Source organism: Homo sapiens, chromosome 2, assembly GCF_000001405.40.
Source record: "Homo sapiens chromosome 2, GRCh38.p14 Primary Assembly".
Taxonomy (NCBI): Eukaryota; Metazoa; Chordata; class Mammalia; order Primates; family Hominidae; genus Homo; species Homo sapiens.
This window is the reverse complement of record NC_000002.12, coordinates 30,897,759-30,916,377: the sequence shown is the minus strand read 5'-3', so window position 1 is coordinate 30,916,377 and position 18,619 is coordinate 30,897,759. Positions and strand designations below refer to the sequence as shown.

The window sequence follows — 18,619 nt, the reverse complement described above, 5'->3', positions numbered from 1 at the left end:
TTCTCATGGCCCAATAATGAGATGCAGATGAACTGGGAAAGAAGAGAGTTTATTTCTGTAACCGGGCACAGAGAGAAAACCTGGAAATTATCACCAGACCAACTCAAAATTACAAAGTTTTTCAGAGCTTATATACCTTCTAAGCTGTTTGTCTACGTGTGAGTGTGCATTCATCTAAAGACATAAGTGATTAACTTCTTCTAATCTATAACTAAGGTCTGAGTCCTGAAGACCTTCTCCTGGAGCCTCAGTAAATTTACTTAATCTAGATGGGTCCAGGTGCTGGGGTGATTACTCTTATCTTGTCTCCTGCTAAATCATGGAGGTTTGGGGAGTTCCTTCAGACCCCAATAAAACTTGTTTGTGGAGGTCTGGGGAGTTTCTTCAGACCCCTGATAAAACTTGTTTAATCCTAAACAGGTCCTGTTAAGAATTCCTTCATTATCTTGTCATGCTTCAAGGCCCAGGAAAAGCCTAGACAAACTCTTGGTGGGCTTTTGTTACATATAAGCTTTTGTAAAAGGGCACTGGCCCTTTCAGCCTTTAACATTTAACTTACCCACTCAGTCAGGGCTGAAAGTTGTCTTAGAGGCCTGCCTGTTCAGCTGTTAGGGAGACCTGGCCTGCCACAGGACCTCCATCATGGGCTAGGCTTTTGCCAGGCCCCCAAACGAAGCCACCAGCAGAGGGCCCAGCACTCAGCGAATCCAGGCCAGACCTGCTGAGCAACCTCTGCTGCCTTCCTGGAGTCTGTTTCTGACTGCAGGATTCTTTTAATAAACTCATTCATCATGGCCCTTCTGGGAAGTCTGACAGGCTGCAGAATGGAAATCCGAAAATGCTCTCCTTGCTTCCCACCTGTATGCTCCTGTTTCCTGCTTCTCCTCCCTCCTCTCCTCTTTCAGATGTGGCCAGACATCAGCCTTCCTCTGGGACATGACGAGGCTAAGTTATTGAAATGCCAGGAAATACCAGCTAATGGAAAGTCCACTTAGCATGAGGGCTTCATTAGCTGTGCCTGTTCACACATTCTCCTTGGGGGTCTTTGAGATGTTTTCATCAAGTCCCGGCCTGGGGACACACCAGATGCCCAAATGCATTTCTTCCTGAAAGGCATCTGTGGACAACAAGGGTAGAGGATGTCAAAATAACTGCCCACCCACCCACCCATCCAGCACTTCCAGTTTTGGGACCCCTAGGATATTAAAAAAGAAGAAATGCCAAAGTGGGCTCTCAAAAGAGGCTTTTATATTTAATCAGTTAATGCTTTTAACACAAAAAACACAATGTCATTGTATGATGGTGATTGTAAGATAATGGCAGGATTCATTTTTGAAATACTAATTTGTGGTTCCCTACAGACTCTATAGTCAGGTAATGGGTCAGAAGGAATGAACTTAGTCTTTCCCTTGTACTGATCTCAGGGCATATGGCTTCCTGGTAGTCCAGCTGTTGCATTTGACCTTTTGGCCCTTCTCTCTCCTCCCCACAGGCCAAGGAATATTCTAGGCCCACCTTCTAGATCACATTCTGGATATTTAGGACTTCAGAATCCCCCACCCAAATGGCCCCAGCCTAATTCAAAACCCTGCGTGGGTCTCATCCCTGGGTTTGTCCTCCGAGGGTGGACTGTGTCTCTAGTACACATCCCCAGGTCCAAGGGAGACCATTTAGAGGGGAATGACTCAGCTTGGATATGCAGCCAAGGTAGGGGAAGAAAAAGGCGGGGCGGCTCAGGCTAGAAGCCAGCACTGTGTGTATCCTATGGTTTGGTGTAGAATCAGGAGTGTGGGCCTCCATTCATACTCATGGCCGAATTACTCTATTAGAGAGGGCACTATTCTCTGGCCTGCCCCACCCCAGACCTTGGCAAGGGGGTACAACCTTTGTTCATCTTTTCATAAAGGTTGTCATTGGGAACTGGCCAAGAAGAAGAATCTCTTGCCACTCTCCCCTGTCAAGGTGGAGCTGATCTTTGGTTTTAATGTCTACAACCTGGAAGAAGAATCTCAGGGGCAGGTGTCTTCTCCCCGGATTAAGGTTATCTAAAAGAGCTCAGAGCCGGCCCTAACTCTCCAGCATCAACAAGAGCAGAGCTGCTGGAGAAAGTTGGTGTGGGGGCCACTTGCTGGTGTATGACTTTGGATAGCCTCTCCGAGCCTTGGTTTCATCATCTATAAAATGAGGATAATAGTAATACCTACTTAATAGGATTCTTATGAAAATTAATCAATCTGTGTAAAGTTGTCAGGATAATGCTGGGCACATCATAAGCGCTCAATAAATGTCAGCTCTTATTAGCAGCAGCAGCAGCAGCAGCCTGGTCATTGCACCACCTCTGTGCGGACAGACTTGTTTCCCCTTTCAGCTTATCTTGGAGAAAGGCAAATGGGATGTGTAGAATGTGATGGTCACAAGGCCAGAGAAGAACTTCTTGATATGTCCCAAGGAATGTATCTCATGACTTTTTATTATAGAAAATTTCAAATATCTATAGATACAGAAGTCGAATAGTATAAAGAACGCCCATGTACCCATTGCCCTGCTGTTAAGAACAAGACTCAAGGACAGTCTTGTTTCATCTATATTTGCATCTCTCCCCAGGGAGTACTTTCTGATCTAGGTCTTCTCCCAACACCAACAGTTTGAAAAGGGATAAAAGAATCCTAATGCAGGAGCCATTCTCCCACTAGGCCGGTGAGTCCCAGATCAAGAGAGCCAGGCGTCATTGTACAGCAAGTCAGGTTGACTCAAGGTGGACGTATTCAGGACAGCAGAAGGTCCTGAGCCTGTGGGAGTGGTTCCTCCGAACCACCCAGGTCCCAGAAAACAATTAAAGCTTTCAGCAGCCCATGGAGGTCAGGAGAGGACCAGGGACCAGGAGGGAAGATGGAGAACGAGAGACAGATGACCACCATGTCTGCCTGGGGGACACCTTGTCCTAGAGTAGGAGGCTGGCCTGCTAAGTGGACTTTTTCATTCTTGGGCCAAGGGGAAGTAGCCAATGAGTAACCTGGTCCAGAGGCTCAGGGTCAACTTGTTTCAGGGATGTGGTGGAAACAGATACAGCCCTCAAAGGATCCTCCGCAGCTTCCCCAGGGGACCCAATTCAGGAATCATCTTTGCCCCCAGACGGAGGCAAAGGGTAAATATTACCTTATTTTACAACCTGGGGGAGAAAACGCTTATGCCAGTACTTTCTGCCCCACTGACTTAAGAACTGGGAAGTGCTTGTGGCTTCATAATCCAGTTACTCTGTGATCTCTGGTACTTTGGAGGAAAAATGTTGGAATCATTCCTCATAATGAATGACACAGCATGCCCTTCTTCCTGATGCCAACAGAACTCTGCTTGTCAATCCAATTTCTCAGCTTCGCTCCCTGAAAGAGCTCAGGGGCCAAAAGATCTATTATCCTGGCACATGCACCCTCCTGAAATAATTTGAATCCTCATAACATTCTTCTTTCCCTAGACCCTTCTTTATTCATTCCCTTGGAACACTTGTTCCATTTATCCTTCCATCTGCCTCTTGTCATAACTCTCATGTGCTCTAGTCTCATGTGCTCTGGACACTGACTTGGACTGCCTTTCAAAGAACAGGGGAGAGTCTAAAGATATCTGGTATGGAGGGGTGGGGAGTTGACCTGCTAGATGGCTGCTTGAAATGTCAAGTGCTGGGAACAGACCCCCTCGAGATGTTTTCTCCAAACAAAAACTGTGGAGCACACAGCTCAGCTGGGGTTGTTGTTCAGACTCCTGCCCAAAGCCCAGAATTGTTCAGGACTCCCAGAGGCAGCCTGAATGGCCCAGGCCCAGGCCCCTTCATGGGGTGGATGGAGATTTCCATGGAGATATGACCTCCGAGTCTCTGGCACTTGAGTAGCATTTTCCAAGGTAACCTTGATGATCATTGCCTACTGGGACCCTTGGTGCTTCTTACCAGCCTGTGCTAATCACACCCGTAAGTGTGGTTGTATCCCACGAGTGGTGGCTTCCTGGATCCTGAACAAACCTTCCTGGTCTCTTTCTCCCCAGGTATGGGCCTTCACATACACCCAGCAGATCCTCCAGGAGGAGCTGTGCCTGTCAGTCATCACCTTGTTCCCTGGCGCCCCAGTGGTTCTTGTCCTTTGCAAGAATGGAGATGACCGACAGGTAAGTGCTCAGCAGGTCCCTGGGATGTGGCCAACTCCGTAATGTGACTGCCTGTTGAGGGCTTAGTCTGATGAGCAGGAAAAGAGAGAAATTGTTAGAAGAGGAAGAGTTGATAAGAGAGGTCAGGAGAGGGAGGGAAAGTGCTGCCTGGGATCCCCTCTGTGATGCTAGCAGCAATGGCAACATCCACCCTCACTGGTCAGCCTGCCCCATGAAAGCCTATTGATTTCCACTGACCACACCATGCCCAGTCATCTTCTACTTTCCTGTCATTGCTCTGTTCCCCACGTGGGATCCCAAACAAGGATCTCAGGGTCACAAGGATGAGCAAGACTTGACCCTTGCCTTCAGGGCCCTGGGCTCTGGCAGTATGTCCCCCAAACTTCCTAGCATTCTGGATGCACCACATGCCCAGTTCCTCTAGCAGCAAAGTGATGTCTCCATTCAGTTTCTTGCCAACTGGGTATTGGTGTTAGAGAGAACAAGATTCAAATGCCTGTTTTATGGTTTACAGGCTGTGTGACCCATGGCAGGTTATTGGACCTCTCTGGATGTCCATTTCCTCCTCTCTGAAATGGGGTTGAGAATGTCCACTACACAGGGCAGCTGTGACTGTCTCTTGGCAGTAACGTGCTCAGTGCCCTCTCCGGGGTGCTTCCCCTGATGTGTCCAGTCCCTCCTTTGTCATGCGAGGTCAAGTGTGAGAACCTGCTGCATGAGACCTGCCTCTCTGCTCTGGCCCGTCGTGTGCTGACACATTTTGAAGAAGCCCCCAGCCCCTCCTGCCATCACACTCGCTGCTCCCAGCTCTTCCCCACTTCTCTGCCATCGTGCAGATGCTGAGTGTGGATCGTTTCTTAGGTTGCTCCTGTGACTAACTCGCTTCATGTTTTCTGGGCTACTGCTTGGAAAGTTATTGCCTCCTAATGAGTTTTCCTAGTAAACATATTGATTTTGCTTTTAACTTTTTTTAATCCAATTTAAAAAAAGAAACCAACAATAATACCTGGTAGAGCAATTAGTTGCAGTTTTAGTGCTTATGAAACCATGAAATCAAGTCTCTCAGTGACCCTAGACATGAGGCACCTACCTTTCTGATAAAGCTGGAACTCCCATGTTACTGATGGCACCTAGTTCATTCACTCTCTTCTTTGTCTTACCAGCAATGGACCAAAACTGGTTCCCACATCGAGCACATAGCATCCCACCTCTGCCTCGATACAGATATGTTCGGTGATGGCACCGAGAACGGCAAGGAAATCGTCGTCAACCCATGTGAGTCCTCACTCATGAGCCAGCACTGGGACATGGTGAGCTCTTGAGGACCCCTGCCAGAAGCAGCAAGGGCCATGGGGTGGTGCTTCCCTGGACCAGAACAGACTGGAAACTGGGCAGCAAGCAGCCTGCAACCACCTCAGACATCCTGGACTGGGAGGTGGAGGCAGAGCCCCCCAGGACAGGAGCAACTGTCTCAGGGAGGACAGAGGAAAACATCACAAGCCAATGGGGCTCAAAGACAAATCCCACATGTTCTCAAGGCCGTTAAGTTCCAGTCCTGGCCAGTCATTCCCTGATTGGTATCTGGAGACAGAAACCTAATGGGAAGTGTTTATTGTTCCTTTTCCTACAAAGGAAGCAGTCTCTGGAGGCCAGAAAGAAAAGCCTTCTTTTTCACTAGGCCAGGACTACATTGAGAGATGAAGAATGGAGGTTGTTTCCAAAAGAAATAAAGAGAAACTTAGAAGTTGTCTCTGGACATCTCTTGCTCTTTTCTTCTTTTGTTGGCTCAGGGCTAAGCTGAGCTCTTCACGGAATAGGGGCATGGGGTGGGGGGCACCTGTGGCAGAGTGGACAAAGAAGACAGGGAGATGGGAGACCTGTGCCCTTATCCTGGGCTGCCACCAACTAGCTGTGGGATCTTAAAATGACATGTAACTTCTTTGACCCACCATTTCCTGTTATGTCAAATTAGGAGAGTGGGACCAGATCAGGGGTTTCTTTTTTTTTTTATTATTATACTTTAAGTTTTAGGGTACATGTGCACATTGTGCAGGTTAGTTACATATGTATACATGTGCCATGCTGGTGCACTGCACCCACTAACTCGTCATCTAGCATTAGGTATATCTCCCACTGCTATCCCTCCCCCCTCCCCCCACCCCTCAACAGTCCCCAGAGTGTGATATTCCCCTTCCTGTGTCCATGTGATCTCATTGTTTAATTCCCACCTGTGAGTGAGAATATGTGGTGTTTGGTTTTTTGTTCTTGCGATAGTTTACTGAGAATGATGTTTTCCAATTTCATCCATGTCCCTACAAAGGACATGCACTCATCATTTTTTATGGCTGCATAGTATTCCATGGTGTATATGTGCCACATTTTCTTAATCCAGTCTATCATTGTTGGACATTTGGGTTGGTTGCAAGTCTTTGCTATTGTGAATCATGCTGCAATAAACATACATGTGCATGTGTCTTTATAGCAGCATGATTTATAGTCCTTTGGGTATATACCCAGTAATGGGATGGCTGGGTCAAATGGTATTTCCAGTTCTAGATCCCTGAGGAATCGCCACACTGACTTCCACAATAGTTGAACTAGTTTACAGTCCCACCAACAGTGTAAAAGTGTTCCTATTTCTCCACATCCTCTCCAGCACCTGTTGTTTCCTGACTTTTTAATGATTGCCATTCTAACTGGTGTGAGATGGTATCTCATTGTGGTTTTGATTTGCATTTCTCTGATGGCCAGTGATGATGAGCATTTTTTCATGTGTCTGTTGGCTGCATAAATGTCTTCTTTTGAGAAGTGTCTGTTCATGTCCTTCGCCCACTTTTTGATGGGGTTGTTTGTTTTTTTCTTGTAAATTTGTCTGAGTTCATTGTAGATTCTGGATATTAGCCCTTTGTCAGATGAGTAGGTTGCGAAAATTTTCTCCCATTTTGTAGGTTGCCTGTTCACTCTGATGGTAGTTTCTTTTGCTGTGCAGAAGCTCTTTAGTTTAATTAGATCCCATTTGTCAATTTTGGCTTTTGTTGCCATTGCTTTTGGTGTTTTAGACATGAAGTCCTTGCCCGTGCCTATGTCCTGAATGGTAATGCCTAGGTTTTCTTCTAGGGTTTTTATGGTTTTAGGTCTAACATTTAAGTCTTTAATCCATCTTGAATTGAATTTTGTATAAGGTGTAAGGAAGGGATCCAGTTTCAGCTTTCTACATATGGCTAGCCAGTTTTCCCAGCACCATTTATTAAATAGCAAATCCTTTCCCCATTGCTTGTTTTTCTCAGGTTTGTCAAAGATCAGATAGTTGTAGATATGCGGCGTTATTTCTGAGGGCTCTGTTCTGTTCCATTGATCTATATCTCTGTTTTGGTACCAGTACCGTGCTGTTTTGGTTACTGTAGCCTTGTAGTATAGTTTGAAGTCAGGTAGCGTGATGCCTCCAGCTTTGTTCTTTTGGCTTAGGATTGACTTGGCGATGCGGGCTCTTTTCTGGTTCCATATGAACTTTAAAGTAGTTTTTTCCAATTCTGTGAAGAAAGTCATTGGTAGCTTGATGGGGATGGCATTGAATCTGTAAATTACCTTGGGCAGTATGGCCATTTTCATGATATTGATTCTTCCTACCCATGAGCATGGAATGTTCTTCCATTTGTTTATATCCTCTTTTATTTCCTTGAGCAGTGGTTTGTAGTTCTCCTTGAAGAGGTCCTTCACATCCCTTGTAAGTTGGATTCCTAGGTATTTTATTCTCTTTGAAGCAATTGTGAATGGGAGTTCACTCATGATTTGGCTCTCTGTTTGTCTGTTATTGGTGTATAAGAATGCTTGTGATTTTTGTACATTGATTTTGTATCCTGAGACTTTGCTGAAGTTGCTTATCAGCTTAAGATTTTGGGCTGAGACAATGGGGTTTTCTAGATATACAATCATGTCATCTGCAAACAGGGACAATTTGACTTTCTCCTTTCCTAATTGAATACCCTTTATTTCCTTCTCCTGCCTGATTGCCCTGGCCAGAACTTCCAACACTATGTTGAATAGGAGTGGTGAGAGAGGGCATCCCTGTCTTGTGCCAGTTTTCAAAGGGAATGCTTCCAGTTTTTGCCCATTCAGTATGATATTGGCTGTGGGTTTGTCATAGATAGCTCTTATTATTTTGAAATACATCCCATCAATACCTAATTTATTGAGAGTTTTTAGCATGAAGGGTTGTTGAATTTTGTCAAAGGCTTTTTCTGCATCTATTGAGATAATCATGTGGTTTTTGTCTTTGGCTCTGTTTATATGCTGGATTACATTTATTGATTTGCGTATATTGAACCAGCCTTGCATCCCAGGGATGAAGCCCACTTGATCATGGTGGATAAGCTTTTTGATGTGCTGCTGGATTCGTTTTGTCAGTATTTTATTGAGGATTTTTGCATCAATGTTCATCAAGGATATTGGTCTAAAATTCTCTTTTTTTGTTGTGTCTCTGCCTGGCTTTGGTATCAGAATGATGCTGGCCTCATAAAATGAGTTAGGGAGGATTCCCTCTTTTTCTATTGATTGGAATAGTTTCAGAAGGAATGGTACCAGTTCCTCCTTGTACCTCTGGTAGAATTCAGGTGTGAATCCATCTGGTCCTGGACTCTTTTTGGTTGGTAAGCTATTGATTATTGCCACAGTTTCAGATCCTGTTATTGGTCTATTCCGAGATTCAACTTCTTCCTGGTTTAGTCTTGGGAGAGTGTATGTGTCGAGGAATTTATCCATTTCTTCTAGATTTTCTAGTTTATTGGCGTAGAGTTCTTTGTAGTATTCTCTGATGGTAGTTTGTATTTCTGTGGGATCGGTGGTGATATCCCCTTTATCATTTTTTATTGCGTCTATTAGATTCTTCTCTCTTTTTTTCTTTATTAGTCTTGCTAGCGGTCTATCAATTTTGTTGATCCTTTCAAAAAACCAGCTCCTGGAATCATTACTTTTTTGAAGGGTTTTTTGTGTCTCTATTTCCTTCAGTTCTGCTCCGATCTTAGTTATTTCTTGCCTTCTGCTAGCTTTTGAATGTGTTTGTTCTTGCTTTTCTAGTTCTTTTAATTGTGATGTTAGGGTGTCAATTTTGGATCTTTCCTGCTTTCTCTTGTGGGCATTTAGTGCTATAAATTTCCCTCTACACACTGCTTTGAATGTGTCCCAGAGATTCTGGTGTGTTGTGTCTTTGTTCTCATTGGTTTCAAAGAACATCTTTATTTCGGCCTTCATTTCATTATGTACCCAGTAGTCATTCAGGAGCAGGTTGTTCAGTTTCCATGTAGTTGCGTGGTTTTGAGTGAGATTCTTAATCCTGAGTTCTAGTTTGATTGCACTGTGGTCTGAGAGATAGTTTGTTATAATTTCTGTTCTTTTACATCTGCTGAGGAGAGCTTTGCTTCCAAGTATGTGGTCAATTTTGGACTAGGTGTGGTGTGGTGCTGAAAAAAATGTATATTCTGTTGATTTGGGGTGGAGAGTTCTGTAGATGTTTATTAGGTCCGCTTGGTGCAGAGCTGAGTTTAATTCCTGGGTATCCTTGTTGACTTTCTGTCTCGTTGATCTGTCTAATGTTGACAGTGGGGTGTTAAAGTCTCCCATTATTAATGTGTGGGAGTCTAAGTCTCTTTGTAGGTCACTCAGGACTTGCTTTATGAATCTTGGTGCTCCTGTATTGGGTGCATATATATTTAGGATAGTTAGCTCTTCTTGTTGAATTGATCCCTTTACCATTATGTAATGGCCTTCTTTGTCTCTTTTGATCTTTGTTGGTTTAAAGTCTGTTTTATCAGAGACTAGGATTGCAACCCCTGCCTTTTTTTTGTTTTCCATTTGCTTGGTAGATCTTCCTCCATCCTTTTATTTTGAGCTTATGTGTGTCTCTGCACGTGAGATGGGTTTCCTGAATACAGCACACTGATGGGTCTTGACTCTCCAATTTGCCAGTCTGTGTCTTTTAATTGGAGCATTTAGTCCATTTACATTTAAAGTTAATATTGTTATGTGTGAATTTGATCCTGTCATTATGATGTTAGCTGGTTATTTTGCTCGTTAGTTGATGCAGTTTCTTCCTAGTCTCGATGGTCTTTACATTTTGGCATGATTTTGCAGCGGCTGGTACTGGTTGTTCCTTTCCATGTTTAGTGCTTCCTTCAGGAGCTCTTTTAGGGCAGGCCTGGTGGTGACAAAATCTCTCAGCATTTGCTTGTCTGTAAAGTATTTTATTTCTCCTTCGCTTATGAAGCTTAGTTTGGCTGGATATGAAATTCTGGGTTGAAAATTCTTTTCTTTAAGAATGTTGAATATTGGCCCTGACTCTCTTCTGGCTTGTAGGGTTTCTGCCGAGAGATCCGCTGTTAGTCTGATGGGCTTCCCTTTGAGGGTAACCCGACCTTTCTCTCTGGCTGCCCTTAACATTTTTTCCTTCATTTCAACTTTGGTGAATCTGACAATTATGTGTCTTGGAGTTGCTCTTCTCGAGGAGTATCTTTGTGGCGTTCTCTGTATTTCCTGAATCTGAACGTTGGCCTGCCTTGCTAGATTGGGGAAGTTCTCCTGGATAATATCCTGCAGAGTGTTTTCCAACTTGGTTCCATTCTCCCTGTCACTTTCAGGTACACCAATCAGACATAGATTTGGTCTTTTCACATAGTCCCATATTTCTTGGAGGCTTTGCTCATTTCTTTTTATTCTTTTTTCTCTAAACTTGCCGTCTCGCTTCATTTCATTCATTTCATTTTCCATCGCTGATACCCTTTCTTCCAGTTGATCGCATCGGCTCCTGAGGCTTCTGCATTCTTCACGTAGTTCTCGAGCCTTGGTTTTCAGCTCCATCAGCTCCTTTAAGCACTTCTCTGTATTGGTTATTCTAGTTATACATTCTTCTAAATTTTTTTCAAAGTTTTCCACTTCTTTGCCTTTGGTTTGAATGTCCTCCCGTAGCTCAGAGTAATTTGATCGTCTGAAGGCTTCTTCTCTCAGCTCGTCAAAGTCATTCTCCATCCAGCTTTGTTCTGTTGCTGGTGAGGAACTGCGTTCCTTTGGAGGAGGAGAGGCGCTCTGCTTTTTAGAGTTTCCAGTTTTTCTGTTCTGTTTTTTCCCCATCTTTGTGGTTTTATTTACTTTTGGTCTTTGATGATGATGTTGTACAGATGGGTTTTTGGTGTGGATGTCCTTTCTGTTTGTTAGTTTTCCTTCTAACAGACAGGACCCTCAGCTGCAGGTCTGTTGGAATACCCTGCCGTGTGAGGTGTCAGTGTGCCCCTGCTGGGGGGTGCCTCCCAGTTAGGCTGCTCAGGGGTCAGGGGTCAGGGACCCACTTGAGGAGGCAGTCTGCCCGTTCTCAGATCTCCAGCTGCGTGCTGGGAGAACCACTGCTCTCTTCAAAGCTGTCAGACAGGGACATTTAAGTCTGCAGAGGTTACTGCTGTCTTTTTGTTTGTCTGTGCCCTGCTCCCAGAGGTGGAGCCTACAGAGGCAGACAGGCCTCCTTGAGCTGTGGTGGGCTCCGCCCAGTTCGAGCTTCCTGGCTGCTTTGTTTACCTAATCAAGCCTGGGCAATGGCGGGCGCCCCTCCCCCAGCCTCGCTGCTGCCTTGCAGTTTGATCTCAGACTGCTGTGCTAGCAGTCAGCGAGACTCCGTGGGCATAGGACCCTCCAAGCCAGGTGTGGGATATAATCTCGTGGTGTGCCATTTTTTAAGCCCGTCGGAAAAGCGCAGTATTCGGGTGGGAGTGACCTGATTTTCCAGGTGCCGTCCGTCACCCCTTTCTTTGACTCGGAAAGGGAACTCCCTGAACCCTTGCGCTTCCCAAGTGAGGCAATGCCTCGCCCTGCTTCGGCTCGCACACAGTGCACGCAGCCACTGACCTGCGCCCACTGTCTGGCACTTCCTAAAGAGATGAACCCCGTACCTCAGATGGAAATGCAGAAATCACCGTCTTCTGCGTCGCTCACGCTGGGAGCTGTAGACGGGAGCTGTTCCTATTCGGCCATCTTGGCTCCTCCCCAGATCAGGGGTTTCTATTGATGATGCACACCTGCCATATTCTGGGGAATTGTCTAACTTGGAGGCTGTAGGCTCCCTGTGGAGATCCTGGTTCAGTAGGTGTGGGGTTGGGTCCAGACATCTCAGCTGATTCTGACACCACTCCTTGCTTAAAAACATTACCCTAGGATGATCTCTCTGGCTGCTAGGGCTTTATGGCCTGTGGCCTTTAGCATAGAAGTTTCTTACTCTAATAAATCCCCAGCTTACTGGTGTGCCCTAGGAATGGGTTATGGTGGTTGTCCATTCTTATTAACTAGGGTTTAAGAGAAGAACCAATCCATATGAAGTTCCCAAAATATGCCCATACCTTCTCTGCCCAGGTGAGTTTCCTACATGCTCTTTGGTAATTGGCTTTGTTATCCACTGCTGCATAACAAATGACCCTGAAATTTAGCAGCCTAAAGCAACACACATCTATTCCCATATGGCTTTTGTGGGACAAGGATACAGGCATATCTTAGTGAGATCCTCTGCTTCAGGGTGTCTTACAAGGCTGCCATTAAAGCGTTGGCCAGGGTCACAGTCATCTCAAGGTTCAACTAGAGCAGGATCTGTTCCAAGCTCACTCAGCAGTTGTTGGCAGGATTTGGTTCCTCGCAGGCTGTTGGCCAGAGGCTGCCCTCAGTCCCCTGCCATGTGGGCCTCTCCAGCATCACTGCTTGCTTCACCCAGGCAAGTAAGCCCGGATGGCAAGCGTGCCACCAAGACGGAAGTCACAGTCTTTTATAAACTCATCTCAGTTATAAATTACTTGCCCTTGCTTTTGGCATATTTTATTTTAGAGAAGCAAGGCATCAGGTGTAGCCAGCACTCAAAGAATTAATGTCAGGAGGCAGCAATTGCTGGGAGCCATTTTAGAATCTGCCAACCACAGGAACTGTTATATTCTAAGCAGGTATCTGTTTCCCCTTCATCCAGAAAGCCCTTCAGTGATGGGAATTAGTTCAAGGTCATCATTATAAAATCCATTACCGCAGACTGCTATAGACTTGGAAAGTAAAGAGTCGAGTGTGTGCAGCCCCAGAAGCTCCTCTGGTGTTGGATCTGTTTGTTTCTGCAATGCTCTTGTGGCCTCCTATAGTTACGATGTGGCTCTTTTGTTGAAGCACTTTTGCTCCACACTGGGAAAGAGAAGGGAGGTCATGGGTAAATCAAGCCATCTATAGAAGACATTCTGATGGCTCCTAAGCTCTGTGTCCAGGCTCTGTTGAAACCAGGCCTGCAAAGAAGAATGAGAACAGGCATGTTCACCAGCAACCTCTCTCCTATGTAGTGAAACAGGTACTGCACTAAAGTAAATATAAGAGAGCCTGGGATCGTCCTCATCTGTCCTCTGTCGCCCTCAGTGTATGTGCCTGTCTTTGAGCTCCCTGGTGGCAAGAAACTTATCTCTTCTTTATCCCCACTGCTGGGCTGGGCATTTCAGCCTCTCAGTGGGCGTTTTCCTAAATGGATGATTGAAAAACTATTCCTTGTCTGGGACAAGTGACATTATTTATGTTTTCCTACCCTTATAAAGTCACAGAATGCAGGTGGTGTTGGGTGTTTCTCAAACACCCAAAGGAATGGGGGCAAAGGAATAAAGGCCTCAGCCCCAGGGGGACAAACACACCTCATCTCAGCCTATTTTGATGTGGCTTAGTTGTCCCCCTGGCCTCCCTCTTATAGCCAAAGCCCTTGGGGTGATAACGAAGAGTCACCTTAAAGGATGTGGAGGGTAGTCTGCTAAAGGAGATGGGATGGTTCTCATGTGAGCTGCTGTGCCTGTGTCTTAAAGCCTCCTTAGTGGAAAATGGAGGTTCAAAACTCTGATGGTGCAAATAGGAATCTCTACAACTGTGCAGAGTTATCCAAATGCTCTCTAGCCACTAACCTGAGGGTGATGCAGCCAAAGCAAGAGGAGTTGGGGATTTAAAAGTGAGCAAAGCAGCCATTCTGAACCTCCACCAGTTCGAGGCAAAGCTGACAATCACTGGATGGGATAGTGACATTCTCCAGCCCCAGGGATGCCTTTGCCTGCAGGTGTGCAGCAGAGAATGTGTGTAGCCAAGCTTTCCCTGGCTGTCTGATGTTTTGGTAGATGCTGAATGAGAGCCCTCAGTCAAATCCGAATATTGAGTTTGAATGCCAAAAGGTAGTAACCTGGACTAGCACACTTAGTAGGTCACCAGTAGCTGTGGGTGAAGGTGAAAGTTTGTCAAATGCTATCAGCCTATGACAACAAAAAAGACCCACACTCTAAGGATCTTAAAGGCTCACAAGATTTAGACCTCAAACCATGCTTGGAGAATCATCACCCTAGAGCAGTCTCACCATCCTGCCAGGTGAGGAAGTGGCCAGGTGTGGCAGAAGCCCCGTCCCCCAAGGTTGCATCTGGTAGTGGAAACAGTATGCACATCTGAGTGTTTTATTGGTGTGATGTGTGTATTAAAGGAAATGGAATTTGTATATATATACACACACACACATATATATACACACATATATACATACACATATATGAGCATATATATAATCATATATGTATTAAAGGAAATGGAATTTATATATATACACACACATATATATATACTCACATATATACACACATATATGAGCATATACATACTCATATATATGTATTAAAGGAAAGGGAATTTATATATATATGAATATATTTATTATATATATGTTGTGTGTTTGTGTACACATGTTGGCATATATATATGTTGTGTGTGTGTGTATACATATAGGCATAGCAGGCATGCTCTACTATGTGGATTAGAGTTGAAGTCATGGTGGTGTTGAGTGAATGGGGAGAAATGGGATTTTTTAGGTAAAACTGAGCTCAATATGGGTGGCTGAGACTGGTGCCATGTTGGATCTGAGACTCACTCTCTTGAGTGATCTGAGACTCACTCACAGTTTCCTTCTGTACTTTGTAATTTCTCCCTGTGAGCTCATTTTCAGCAGGAGTTTCTTCCTCTAGGTATCCCAGGTGCCCCGCTTGTGGAGGCATGCCTCAGGAAAGGTTTGCCTTTGCCTCTGCCGGGGTCCTAGTGAGTTTCATAGACTCCAAATGGACTTATACATTGATTTCTCTGTTGGTTGTTTCCACACTGTGAGTGATGAGAATTTGGACCCCACCTCTATTACTTGGCACAAGCTTGGATTTTGGTCTTCCCCAGATTATCATTTTTCTACCCAAAATTTTAGTCCTGCTCCATGCCATCACCACTCCTCCAGCTGGTGGATGGGGTGTGTCTAGCTCTCTAAACATACAACGATAGTAGGGCCCCATTTCTGGCCTCTGCCACCCAAGAGGCTGTGATTTTCACATCTGCCCCTGACTGGGTGTTAAAGCCCCAGCCCCGTCGATATGCATCTGGCTTCAATTCCCCTTCAGCGCTCATTCATGACTCTGACTCTGAATTCCCATTTGTTTTTAGAATCTGGAATTTCTCCCTTTTTCCTTTCAAATGCAGCTGTGATTTCAAATTGTTTTATCCAATATTTATATATGTGGGGGAAAGGGAGCTCCCTGTGCCAGCTCAGACCAAAATCCCTTAGTGCTGTAATTAGCTGTCACCGCTGTCTTTCCCACCGGCTGTGGGACCATATCTTATTGTAGACACTCAATAAATTTCTATGAATGAGTGAGAGAATAAGCCTGTGATTCTTTAGTACCACTTTCTAATTACCTCCTGGCTACAGTTATCAAACGTTAAAGTTTTAAAAAGACAGCAAAAGCAGAAACAGAGGACCGAGAAGACAAATTTATAACAATAAAAATCTTGTTGTAATACACATAGATTTAGGGATCATGCATATTTTACTTCATAATGACAGAGTTTAATACTGAAAATGCTAACTGGAAAGAACTATCAGTAATGGAAGTCTTTAACACTTCAGTAGAGCCCCAAAAGACAGAATTTATTCTTATAAACTCTGGGGGATGGTGATGGAAGGGTTGAGGGGAAGCCCTGTATTTCATCTGCATGAATCTCAGGCAGATTCACTCACATCTGGCAACCCGAGTCCTGGCTGGCCTTCAAAGAGAGGTCCACCTTGTACCTGCGGTCCACCATAGTTTACCCATAGTAAAGTTACCCGTAATAGAGTTAAGTGGACTTGGTTTCCCCAACTCCACACACTGAGCCATCATCCTGCCCTAATCCATCCATTCTCTTAGCACCCAGGACAGCATCTGGCACATAAGGGTATGGTGAAGTTTTGTGGGTTATATGAAAAGCCTAGCAGCTGTGCAGACGTGACCTCTGCGACGCCCCACGTGGCAGATGGGAGCCTCTTTTCCCGCATCATCCAGAGCTAACCGCCCGAGCTCCCTCGTGGTCTGTGGACTCTGGCGGCCCAACTCGGATTAGCAGACTCCAAAGCTCTGAGCACTTTTCCATTTGCCATGGAGCCGACTAATTTAATGAAGCCGTCACAGTGCAAACCTCAGGGCTTATTGGAAAAGGACTTGAGCACGACATTATTTCACAGCAGTAGATTGCATCATTTTCATTTCACAGCTTTCCAATGGGAAATAATAAAACAAAATTACAAACATAATGAAGGAAGAAAGAAGGAGGAAAAAAAAAAAAACCTTGGGTGAGAGACGCATCTTCTATGCTGTGTCAGGGCTGGTTACCTTATTCATTTGAGCCAGTAAATATTACCTGGCCTCACTCTGCAGGAAGGAGCAGCCCAGAATGCCTGCACCTGCTACTGAAGATAACAGGCTGCAATAATTCACTGTCCAGATGCAGCAAGGAGCGGTGAGTGCCCCTAGAGATGGCCAGCTGGATGGTCCTCCAAGAAATTCCAGCTTCCCAGAGCGGAGCCTTCCCTGGGTCAGCCACAGTGCTGGGGCAAAGGGCTGCCATTGGTGAGGGGGTGGTGGGTCCTTCCCTCTGGAAGACAAAGCAGCTTCAACAACGGAGCTTCACCCATTCCTGGGATGAAGGAAGGAAAATGGGTTCCCGCCTCCATTCATCTTGCAGGATGCTTTTAGTGTGACCATGTGTGACCTGACAGCCAGATGCTAAATAGGAGTCAACAGAGAGATGAAGCTCTTTCCAAAAGCTGTTCTCATTAATAGCACTGAGGTGTGCAGATGGAGGGTGGCAACAGAGCTCGGCTTGGCCTTCTATTTTATTCTGCAAGCCTGCGCTTCAGCTCAAGAGATGTCCCAGGCCTGTCCCTACAGCAAGAAAATAGCGCCCCTCCATTCTACCCAGGCCCCAAATTCCTTTCGTTTCACTGAAAGTAGCTTTTCTTCTCCAATAGTGGAAGAGTTTGAGGACATCCAGGATGAGCTCCCTCTTCTTTGCCTCCAGAGTCTCCTCCAAGGTTGCCTCTCGATTCCCCTTCCCTTCTTGATCCCTCACTTTGCCTCCCCCTCTGCCAACCCCTCCCCAGCAACTGAGTGGCAGAAACATCTCTCCTACCCTGAATTAAAGCAAAAAGCCTTTCTGTGAGCCTGAGCTTATCTTTCACTTTGATTGACATGCCCCACTAAAGCATAAAGGCTAGTTCTATGGGCTCTGGTGGTAGATAATACAGGTTCAAACCCTGGCTCCTCTAGTTCTCAGCTGTGTGACTAAGAGCAAGTTACTTAACTTGACTGAACTCAATTTTTCTCCTCTGTGAAGGAGCTAATAATCACACCTGTCTCATAATTTTACCGTGAGATTGATTGAAATGATTCATGAGGTTCTCAGTACAGAGCCAGGCACCTATATATGTCCTCAGAAATGTTTGTCATCCTTGTAGTTCATCGTGAGGATTAAACATCAGGTCCCAGAGCGGAGGGCAGGGTCTGTGAGTGTCGAGGGATGACCCCTTGTCTGAGTCTGTGCAAGCTGCTATAACATGTCATACCCTGGGTGGTTTTAACAAAGAAACATTTATTTCTCATAGTTGTGGAGGCTGGGAAGTCCAAGATTAAGGTCCCTACACATTCAGTGTCTGATGAGGGCCCACTTTCTCCCTGTGTCCTCACTTGGCAAAACGAGGACGAGAGAGCTCACTCTCTGGGGGTCCCTTTTATAAGGGCACTAATCCCACTCACAGGGGCTCCACCCTCATGATCTAATCATCTCCCCAAGGCTGCACTCCTTAACACCCTCACCTTGGGAGTTAGGATTTTAACATATGAGTTTGAGGGACAAAAACCTTCAGTTCATTGCACTCTTCAATCCTCAGAGGTCCATTAGAGGCCAGGCTGAGACTCCCCTGTGGGGTTGCCTGGGGCATGGAGTCCTGGAGAAGACTCAGACCCTGCAAGCACCGCTCATTTGTCCCAAACAGGTTAAGATCAGGAGGGAAAGTAAACAGAAAAGGGCAGTAAGGATCAGCTCTGGGAATGGTGTCCCCTGCTGGTTTGCGCCCTTTAGTTGCATGCAGTTCTTAGGC

At 45.4% G+C, this 18,619-nt stretch overlaps 1 protein-coding gene across 13 annotated transcripts in view; it reads left to right on the top strand.

Annotated features, from left to right (window-relative positions):
• GALNT14 (polypeptide N-acetylgalactosaminyltransferase 14) overlaps nt 1–18,619 on the top strand; it is a 251,659-nt gene that overhangs the window by 222,063 nt on the left and 10,977 nt on the right. For 8 of the 13 annotated variants that reach the window (NM_001329097.2, NM_024572.4, NM_001329095.2 and 5 more), the window contains 2 exons: nt 4,036–4,155; nt 5,319–5,911. In NM_001329097.2, coding sequence (NP_001316026.1) covers nt 4,036–4,155; nt 5,319–5,355 — 157 coding nt within the window. In that variant the 3' untranslated portion in view covers nt 5,356–5,911. Of the gene's footprint in view, nt 1–4,035; nt 4,156–5,318; nt 5,912–16,898; nt 16,981–17,491; nt 17,683–18,619 lie in introns of those variants that run through there. The other 5 variants (XR_007081588.1, XR_001738943.2, XR_001738941.2 and 2 more) reach the window with 2 other exon arrangements.